The 11179-nt window shown below is 40.1% G+C and overlaps 1 protein-coding gene and 1 pseudogene across 4 annotated transcripts in view; one reads left to right on the top strand and one right to left on the bottom strand.

Moving 5' to 3' along the window:
• NCOA3 (nuclear receptor coactivator 3) overlaps positions 1-11179 on the bottom strand; it is a 154986-nt gene that overhangs the window by 16561 nt on the left and 127246 nt on the right. For 3 of the 4 annotated variants that reach the window (NM_181659.3, NM_001174087.2, NM_006534.4), the window contains exons 9-16: positions 6676-6816; positions 6117-6264; positions 4599-4990; positions 3550-4421; positions 2529-2664; positions 1110-1304; positions 490-735; positions 261-387 (exon numbers count right to left, since the gene is read on the bottom strand). In NM_181659.3, coding sequence (NP_858045.1) covers positions 261-387; positions 490-735; positions 1110-1304; positions 2529-2664; positions 3550-4421; positions 4599-4990; positions 6117-6264; positions 6676-6816 — 2257 coding nt within the window. Of the gene's footprint in view, positions 1-260; positions 388-489; positions 736-1109; positions 1305-2528; positions 2665-3549; positions 4422-4598; positions 4991-6116; positions 6295-6675; positions 6817-11179 lie in introns of all 4 variants that reach the window. The other variant, NM_001174088.2, reaches the window with a different exon arrangement.
• Positions 8874-9547, top strand: LOC100419565 (ribosomal protein S3A pseudogene; annotated as a pseudogene).

Raw genomic sequence — 11179 nt, 5'->3', positions numbered from 1 at the left:
CTCAGAGGTTTGGCCACTGAATGGCCCTAATGGCTGGACAACATGGTTGTATCTCCTCCCTCTCCTGTGAATGCCACACGCACTGCTTACTGCTTCAGCCTCATTTTTACACAGAGTTACACGAGAAATGCCCAGCTGGCAACCCAGTACCTCAATTATAGGGAATTCTCATTCTCTTTCACGTTTGCTTCTGTGCTCCAACTCTTTTCTAAACTACCCAATGCTGAGATTTTCTACAGAGTCACAAAATAACACCCCACCTATTTTGAGTGCCATGAGAAACTTGTTCCATGGACAACATGCCATCGGGCCAGGAACCCAGTTGGTTAGATGCTGCTGCTTGGCCATAGGGATTAGCCCCCATTCCCATGGGGATTTCACCAGGCCCTGGGGGAGCAAAAAGAAAGCACAAATTCTCAAATAAGAGCAAAAATTATCCTGAAACATCTAACTTTCTTTTTTCATGAAGAGGGGAGGGTGGACACTTACTCATTTGAAGCATCTGCTGCTGCTGTTGCAATACTGGTCTCGCACCTGGTATGCTATTAGACCGAAGAGGCAATGTGGGAATAGAGCCACCCAGTGCAGGTCTGGGTAAAGAAGTATTATAATCTCCTCCTGGTCTTCCCATGGAGTTTGAATTCATAGGTTCCATTCTGCCGGCCTTTGAGTTTGGTAAGCCCCAGTCTCCTGAGGAAGGAGTCTGAGTCACAGTCACATTTCGGTTTGGCCCACCTAAAACAGGTAGCCATACTTAGGTCTTTTCCATATTATAATGAAATCCTTCTTATACCATGTAAGTACAGCCATTATACACAACATCAACCTTGACAAAACAGCACTTTGTCATGGTAAGAAAAGGGCTGGCCAACTGTGGAGACATAGGCCACTATTCTCATATATTCAACAGGCTGGAAAATGTCATAGACCAAAAGACTCTTGAAGAGTTTACATAACCAAAACATAGAATAAATGAAGGATATTCATGGAAGAAACATACTAACGTTATTCAAAAAGTTATTATTTACTCCCAATTATTTAGATGGCTTTAAGTATTTTAAATATGCTTTTCCCAAAATAATCATACATACTAATTAGAAATAACGTACCCATACTTGAGCCATAATTTTCCTGACTATCCATCATTCTTGGATTCCCACCCAACATGGGTTGCTTTGGTAACATGGGGAAAGCACTGATATTTTTTACTGGAGGACTTGAGCCAACAGAAACAGGGCTATCCAGAGACACTGCTCGGTTATATGGAGGACGAATAGACTGCACAGACTGTGAACTTTTCAAACCTGTTGAAAACACAATACAAAAACATTTCTTCGTGATTTAATATATAAATAATCAAGTACAAAACACAAATACCACCACTCCCCACCCAAGAATGTCTTTCTTACAAAAACAAACACTGTCTTCCTTTACAAAATAAGTGAGGGAAGTGGCCCTCACCCACCACCGCCACCCCCCGCCCCCCTGCCAGCCAAAAAAGGGTCTCATATTCCAAATAAAGTAGAAACAACAATCTCCATGTCGGCTGAAGTACTGAGAACTTTTCTGTAGCCTGATATGGTCACTGATACTCTGCGCTTCACTTAATATTGAAAAATTCACAAATGTTCCAAGCTCCTGAAGGTTCTTGCATATTTGTACTTAAGTATACTGTTTATAATTTTAACAATCAACTTAACCAGATAAGTTGCCTTCTGATCGAAAAGAAATAAAATGTAAAATCCCCTTCTAACCTTCTTTTTTTCCCCCCCACTCTTAATTGATCTATCCATTCTAGTTTAGGAAATAATGCTACTGAATAATGACCATTCTGAATAATTGTGCATGCTGCCTTTTCAATTGACACACACAATATATCTTTGTTTTTCTGTCTGTTTGTTTGAGACGGAGTCTCACTCTGTCACCCAGGCTGGAGTGCAGTGGCGCAATCTTGGCTCACTGCAACCTTCGCCTCCCAGGTTCAAGCGATTCTCATGCCTTAGCCTCCCGAGTAGCTGGGACCACAGGTGTGAGCCACCATGCCCGGCCTACCTTTGTTAAATTGATGAAGTCAACACACAGCAACAGGAGAGGGGCTAGATAAGAACCAGCAAACACCAAAGAAAACTATCTTAATTAAATGACAAGATTCTGTTAAAACACCAATGGACAGGTTTTAATCTAGAGTCTGAGTTGCTTTTTAATCCAGTTCTCTGTGGCTAAGAAAAATATATGCCCTAGTACCTACAGTACTCACCTGGAATAATCAAACATGAATATTTTTCTATAAGTGCCATGATTACTGGCATATTAGTTAGAAGTGGGAAATTTATTTAATTTTTAAAAAACAGGAAAATGTTCAAAAAGCTTTCTAAAGCACATATAAATTAGTATAGAAAACAGAGGCAGAATATATGTTCTGAAGTTATAAATGCTATTTATATCCTGGTCTTAGTGTAAGAGTGTTTACAGGTATGCAGAAAAGTTTCAAAGGCAGCAAAAAAAAAAAAAACCTAGTTCATTCTTACCCAGAGAATTAGTTCCTTGAAACACCTGTTGCTTAGTCCCCAGATGACTACCATTTGAGGATATGGAATTATTGTAAAAGTCAGAACTAGTCAGATCACCAAGAATAGCATCTAGATTATCCAAGTCTCCAGATCCCTGAAAATAAAGTTTTAAAAATTAACCTGTATACATTACCAGACACACAGGTATAAACATACCCATCAGAAAAAATGATACATGAAATAGAAGCAAGTAAAATACAAAAACTACCTACAATGATAATACCCACCTGAAAGGCCAGTTTATTATGACCCCCATCTCTAATCTTCCTCCTCTGAGATTAAATCACTACATTTGGTCCTTTCAAAGGGGCATTTTTTAAATTTACACAAGACATTTAATTCTCAAACTGTAGAATATTTTGCAGGTAACAGTCACTAGCAGTGCATTGATAATTAGCTAACAGATATCTGCATCTACACAAACCTTCTGAAAATAAGTGTGATTAATAATAAAAGGAGCAAGCTGGGATGTTCATAGGCATGCTCTAAAAAGGGCTTCGGTCAATAAATTTGGTGAACAGTAGGTTAAGCCCACATCCTAACTTTAAGCCTTTCATTTTCTCAAGTGCATATTAATATATCCTATAAGTTTGGGAAATGCTTATACAGAATGTCATCTTGTGCATGAAACTTGATTTTACCTTAAAATAAAAATTATGCTGCTTAATACAAGTTTTTTTTTTCCTGATTACTTCTACCATTCTCTTAATGACCCAATCTGCCCATTCCAGCAATAAACACCTCCATGAAAAAATTTCATATTGGCTACTAAAGAGTTATAGTCACATCTTAAAACATACACATCTGTTATTTCTAAATTACATCATAATTTTACTGACATCCAAAATAATTATAAAGAAATGAGAGCTAAAGATTTAACTTTCTTTAAATAAACCTAAAATGGAAGAATTTTTATATCACATTATCTAACACCGAAAAATGATGAAATATGAGCTGAAATATACAGAAAACAAATTACCTCTTCACTTGTCTCTGTCTTAATTTTAGGGTCTTTCTCTTGACTTGAGCTAGGAATGGTGGAGCTGGTGCACTGACTCATTTTATTATCCACTCCTTCCACTTGGGGCTGTAGTTCTTTAGAGAGTGCATCACTAGGATCATCCCTGTCCAGCAGGTATCTAAGAAGTGCATTATTCTCCTTCTTCTTAGGACTTAGCTGCTCCTGCTTGACAACATTTCCGTCCCCACAAGAAGTTATACTGCTGGTGTCTTTCCCAGTGGCTTCTGCAGTAATCTTGGCTACCTCAGCTGGTGAATTCCCATTCTGCAGCAACTTGTGCAAAATCCGGTGCTTCTCTTGTAACAGTGACCCATGCATATTGGATGTAGAGGATACTCCTCCAGATGTAGAGGAGGAGACTCCAGAGGGGCTGGTGACACTAACAGAAGATTCTTTACAACTTGAATCTAGGGGGGAGTTGGTCAAGGAGGAATGACCCCGGTCATCAGAAGAACAGGTAAGTAACTGCAGTAATTTTTTATGACCTTTGCTTTCCAAAGGACCCCTTTGATTCTCTGCCCCCTCAACACTGCTCTCCTTACTTTCTTTGTCACTGAGGTGATCTCTGCTATTTGACTGACACATTGAACTCTCCACTGGATTTTGGTCGCAATAAAAGCCCAGAGGACTCTTGGAATCCTGATTGCTTACTTTACTTGGTTGGGTAATATTCATATTGGGAGAGTTATCCAATTTGGGGCCTGGTGATGACAGAGTAGATAAAAGGGAAGTCCCCACACCTTCACTGATGGCTTGCAGGGCACTGAGAGAGCTGCTGGAAAAGCTGTGGTTCCCAGTATTGCCAGAAGATGCCATGGGAGAGTGCACACCTGAATTTGAAAAAAAATTTAGGAAAAGAATTAGACTACCAGACACTGTAACAAAATACAACTTAATTCTTCAAAGTTTCTATTATAAAATAGATTAACTTTACAAGAATTATAGTAGTATGGAAAGAATAATTACTTAAAAAGAAAAAAAATAAAAGGAAATGTCAACACAAATACCTGCAACAGGAGAAAACTGATGTGAGGCTATCTTTGGACTCCCACGATTACGAGGAGAAATCATGATATTCTGCTGGTTTGGGGCAAGACCAGGACTCCCATGTGGGGGGCTACTCATGTTGAGCCCATAGTTGTTGTTCTGGTAGGAAGATGGTGATTGCATGCCTGGCCCAGGGGTCAATGAAGCTATGTTACTGGAACCCCCATACCTAGCTCCACTCATCTGCCCTGTGGTGCTAGGGTCTGCCAAGCCATAGGCCCTGCTGCTCGGCATCTGTAAGCCTTGGTTTGGCGACATACTCATGCCGCCTACCGAACTGTTGCATCCAGCCATAGGTGGTCTAATCCCTTGTCCAACAGGATTTGGGTTTGGTCTATATCCATTCTGTTCTCTGCAAAACAAACATCAAACTTTTACTAAAAAATTCTAAGCATGCATGAAAGCTTTTAATCAGATTTAAAATAAAATAAAATTTTAAAAAACCAGCCAGCTACAGTGGCTAACACCTATATTCCCAGCACTTTGGGAAGCTGAGGCAGGAGGATCACTTGAGCTCAGGAGTTTGAAACCAACCTGGGCAACACAGCAAGATCATGTCTCTACAAAAAATTTAAAAATTGGCCAGGCATAGTGACACACATCTCTAGTCCTAGCTATTCAGGAGGCTGCGGTGGGAGGATCGCCTGAGCCCAGGAGTTCGAGGTTGCAGTGAGCTGTGATGGCACTACTGCACACCTGCCTGGGTGACAGATCAAGACTCTGTCTCTGTTTAAAAAAAAAAAAAAAAAAAAAGAAGAAGAGAAGAAGAAGAAAGGAAGAAGGGAGAGAGAAGGAGAGGGAATAAAAAAATGGGATGAATTAACTACCCAGGAACTTAACTTTTTAGGCAGCATTCCAATACCTAGTGACAGTTCCAATCTACATATTGATCAATTATTTACCTAGTAACATATTTTTCAGTAAGCCACAGAATCTATGAGTGAGACCACTGTAGTATTATGAAAGACCAACAGCTATGTTAACTGGAGTTTCAGGTGGGCTTTATTAGAGTTGCCACATTATCTAGGGCTTCACCTGGGGGTACCTGCAAATTACTCAAGATAATTAATGGGTGAATATCCTCCCCTTCATGCATTTCTTATTTGCCACTACCAACCCAGACAGTAACTACCTTTATTCTTGAAGTTTACCCTCAAATTTTAAATGCAGTCCCCAAAGCAACACACATTATCAGAAATGAGTGGTAAGACATGTAATCAGATTTTATGTGCTCTTTTATCCACCCATTAGCCTTCCCATCACCTAGCTTTCCTGTAAAGTATTTAATAAATAATCACTTTCACATAAAAATACAACCTTAAACATATCATAATCCAGGAATCTAAACTCATTTCATCAAACCCAATAACCTTCCTAAATTTTGTCTCATTTTATCCCTTCCCTTTTTACTTTAATAATAAAGCATTTTGAGAACACTGCTGCATTTTGTATTAGAATACACAGTAATCTATCATTACCTCTGAAGGAAGTGGGTTGAGACAAAGCCATGTCGATCATTTGTTACAGGATTTCGGAAGAGTTTGCTTTTTGTCTGTGCAGTCACTATAGTTCCATCAGCCAACGAGAATCGATATACTGGGGTTTCTGCATGGCCATTAAGATAAGCTGTTGGGGAAAATATCCCATCACTGGTAACTACAGTCAGCAAAACAAATATATATAGGAGGGGACAGGGAGGAAATATACTTCAAGTACATTTCTAAAAATCCAAGGAAAGACTGGATCTGCACCAAAATCATCAACAGGGTAAAATAAGAACACTCAGGCATCATTTTCCTACCCCTCACCAACAAGAGAGCAACTACAGTCATGTGTATACCAAACATAATGACAAACAAGATCAAGAATCAACCACAAAACCAGGTATGGTGGTGTGCACCTGCAGTCTTGGCTACTCAGAAGCTGAGGCAGAAGGGTCAATTAAATCCAGGAGTTCGAGTCCAGCCTGGGCAAGATAGCAAGGCCCTGTCTCTAAAGAATAAAATGATAAGAACAATCAACCCCAAAATTCTTTACCTTCTTGATAGTGACGTTTCTGGGACCATGACTGCCCATCATTTAGACTAAAAAATCTCTGAATACACCTTCGGATTATATCTTCAAAGCCAGGCCTCATGGAGGATCTCAGTGAATTTGTATCTATATTGACAACCTTTCCTATTAAACAAAAAAAGGAAAAAAAGACTTATATCCAGCCCACAAGTATTTACTGGCTGCCTACACATGGCTTAGCACTGGAGAATAAAATAAAAGATATTAAATCTTTGCTCCACCTTCTCTGATCCAAATTTCTACTATATCCACAGCTTTTCTCCTTAAGACATAGCACCACAGGATTCTCCCTACATGTTCTGCTAAGGAGTATAATAATACATTTGGTCTTTGTCAGATTTCTAGCACAGAGCCCCTATCCAAAATCCTCAGAATTTCCTGAGTAATAAAAGTATTTTCAAGTTATTCATAAAGAGCCCCTTTGGAACACACCTCAATTTATGCTGATGAGGAGACTTAGGGTGGGGTCTCTAGATCACCTCAGGATGGAGCTGATAATCAGAAAGACCAAGTAATTAAAGGATTGGAACTTTCTGTTAGTAGTTCCATCTACTAACCTCCAGGAATGGGGCATGAGGGAGGAAGGAGAGCCTGGTGATTAAATTCTATAAAAAACTCTTGGCCTAGCACGGTGCCTCACGCCTGTAATCCCAACACTTTGGGAGGCCAAGGCAGGCAGATCACGAGGTCAAGATATCAAGACCATCCTGGCCAACATGGTGAAACCCCATCTCTAGTAAAAATACAAAAATTAGCTGGGCATGGGAGTGTGCGCCTGTAGTCCCAGCTACTCGGGAGGGTGAGGCAGGAGAATCGCTGGAACCTGGCAGGCGGAGGTTGCAGTGAGCCGAGATCATGCCACCGCACTCCGGCCTGGCAATAGAATGAGACTCCATCTCAAAAAAAAAAAACTCGGGCCAGCAACAGTGGCTCACATCTGTAATCCCAGCACTTTGGGAGGCCAAGGCAAGCAGATCACAAGGTCAAGAGTTCGAGACCAGCCTGGTCAACATGGTGAAACCCCATCTCTATTAAGAATACAAAACTTAGCTGGGCGTGGTGGTGCGTACCTGTAATCCCAGCTACTTGGGAGGCTGAGGCAGGAGAATTGCTTGAACCCGGGAGGCAGAGGTTACAGTGAGCTGAGATCGTGCCACTGCACTCCAGCCTAGGCAACAGAGCAAGACTCCATCTCCAATTAAAAAAAAAAAAAAAAAAACCTCTTGAACAAGAGATTTGATGAGCTTCCAAAGGATGAGTACATTAAGGTGCTGGGAAGGCTATAAGCCCAGAGAGGGCATGGAACCTCCAAACCTCATCCCCACCCCCTAATACCTTCTCCTATACATTTCTCCCATTGAGATATTCCTGAGTTGTACCCTTCATAAGAAACCAGTAAACCTGAGTAAAGCATTTCCGGATTTCTTGAGCCATTCTAGCAAATCATCAAACCTAAGGAGAGGATCAGAAGCCCAATTTATAGCCAGTCAGTCAGAAGTACAGAAGGCCAGGACTTGCAACTGGCATCTGAAGTAAAGTACAGGCAGTCTTGTGGGACTGAACCCTTAACCTTGTAAGATCTAATGCTAAACCCAGGTAGAAACTGTCCAAACTAAAATTGTAGGGCACCCAGCTTATGTCAGACAGAGCGCTGGTTAGTGTAGAAAAAAATACATCTGGGGTCAGAAGTGGTGTGGCAGTGTAGAAAAACAGTGTTTTCCCAAATGCTGTACAGAATATATATCACACAAACTCCTTTTACTGTCTGAATGTACTGAATATACATGTCCAGATAACCTTAAGTTCATTTTCGTGTAAAGGGAAAAAATAACGCCTATGAGGAAAGTTGTTTGTCCGAAGAGATTCTGTCCCTACAACTATAAGCAAGAGAAAATACCTACTTAAAGTAAGCCAGCAGGGACAATTATTTGCATCTGAGAGATGATCACATTTTTGTACACTTAATACCTAAACTTGGAGGGTTAACCAAATACTCATTTCTACAATGCTGGAAGCTTCTGACAACTTTTGCTTAATATCAAATACAATGGAGACACCAAATATACATACTCAAAAATACTATGAAATTAAAGAAGGTTTCATGACAATAGATGGTCCTTAAAAACTGTCTAGGCCTTTTCACTCTAAGCAGCACTAGGGTGGTTGGCAAAAGCAAGTGCCTTACAAAAAGTGGCAGAATGGGAGCAAAGAAGAAAGTGGTTAATCCATTTCCTAAAAAAGACTGATATGATGTGAAAGCACCAGCTGTGTTTAATTGGTAACAAACTAGTCAAAAGGGCTCAAGGAACCAAAACTGCATCTGATGGCCTCAAGAACTGTGTTTTTGAAATGAACCTTGCTGATCTGCATAATGATGAAACTGCCCTTAGAAAATTCAGACTAATTACTGAGGACATCCAGGTCAAAAACTATGTGACCAGCTTCCATGGCTGGTCTTGGATCAGCTTTCAGGCCTTTTCTATGTCTTTGAATGCAGACAGAATGATCCAAGCCATAATAACTGGTCACACAGTTTTTGACCTGGACATCCTCAGTAATCTTTTCTGTGACAAAATATGCTCCATGGTTAAACATGGCAGACTTCATAGGAAGCTCCTGCTGATGTCAAGATTGCCAATAGTTATCTGTTTTGTATAGGTTTTACTAAGAAATGCAATAATCAGACTTGGGCAATCTCTTATGCTCAGCACCAACAGATATGCCAAATCCCAATGATGATGGAAGTTGTGACCCAAAAGGTACAGACAAATAACTTGAAAGAAGTGGGCAATAAACTGACTCCAGACAAATTAGGAAAGACATTGAAAAGGCTTGCCCAGGCCAGGCGCGGTGGCTCGTGCCTGTAATCCCAACACTTTGGGAGGCCGAGGTGGGTGGATCATGAGGTCAGGAGTTCGAGACCATCCTGGCTAACATGGTGAAACCCCATCTCTACTAAAAATACAAAAAATTAGCTGAGTGTGGTGGCACATACCTGTAGTCCCAGCAACTCGGGAGGCTGAGGCAGGAGAATGGTTTGAACCCGGGAGGCAGAGGTTGCAGTGAGCCGAGATCTCGCCACTGCACTCCAGCCTGGGCAACAGAGCGAGACTCCGTCTCAAAAAAAAAAAAAAAAAAAAAAAGTCTTGCCCATATATTTATCCTTTCTATGACATATTCATTAGAAAACATACTGAAGAAAACCAAGTTTGGTTTGGGAAAACTCATGGGGCTTCATAGTGAAAGGTAATTCTGCAAAAGCTACTGGAGATTTAAAAGGCACTAATATTGAATAAGCTGACAGAAATAAACCACCAGTCCAATAATCTGTTTAAAATTCAGAATTTTAATGGTGACCAAAAATCTTATTAGTAGCAGGGGGAGACTAGGGAAAAGGGATAAACGCATTCTGGGAAAGAGTAAATACCTGTGCACTCGTGCCCAAAATAGACATGATTTGTCCTCAACCACCTCTCCTGAGTTTAGCCCTGGGCCACATGACAAATACAAAACAGATGTCCATAAAAAGTTTATTAAATGAAACACATCAGGGACAGAAGATAAAATATCCCCAGAGGTCAAAAGTAAGTAGGATCTCAGTTTTAAATGATGTTAATCACACAAAGCATTTGATCTTTCTTGCTTGGCAATTTTTTTCTCCATCATGTCCTGTTTTCTTTCATGCTTGGTAATTTCTAACTTTTATAATAAACATGTATCACTTTTATATACTGATGAGATAATTTTCAAAGATGCTACTTGCTAAATTGCTTAAAGATATTTTATTTAGTATCTTCAGTAGCAAATGTAAAACATGGCTATTCAAGTAGAAAATTAACACTGCCAAATCATAAGAGGTGCAGAGAAAGACTCACTCTAAAAGGATAAAATAATATATAACAATTGCTGTCACTATGTTTATCTGAGGGGAGTTAATACAGAGAAAATGTTCAAATATAAAGTAACATACAGCCGGGCATGGTGGCTCATGCCTGTAATCCCAACACTTTGGGAGGCCGAGGCAGGCGGATTACCTGAGGTCAGGACTTTGAGACCAGCCTGACCAACATTGTGAAACCCTGTCTCTACTAAAAATGTAAAAAATTAGCCAGGCGTGGTGATGGGCGCCTGTAATTTCAGCTACTCGGGAGGCTGAGGCAGGAGAATCACTTGAACCCAGGAGGCAGAGGTTGCAGTGAGCTGAGATCATGCCATTGCACTCCAGCCTGGGCACGACAGAGCAAAACTCCGTCTCAAAAAAAAAAAAAAGTAACATCCATCAGCGTAAACAAGATTATACTGTGAATTGTCAAAATAATCCTTTGCTACTTTTAATTGTGAAAATTAATCTCAAAAATCCTGAAGATAGGTTACTGATGGCATAAAATGATTGAATGACTGCAAAAATAGCAATATTTCTTTAAAAATATTCTGCATTATGTATATTATATATACATATTACAAACAC

This window comes from Homo sapiens, chromosome 20 (genome assembly GCF_000001405.40).
Source record: "Homo sapiens chromosome 20, GRCh38.p14 Primary Assembly".
In the NCBI taxonomy this organism is placed as follows: Eukaryota; Metazoa; Chordata; class Mammalia; order Primates; family Hominidae; genus Homo; species Homo sapiens.
Note: the sequence above shows the minus strand (reverse complement) of the source record. Positions and strands in the feature narration are given on the sequence as shown.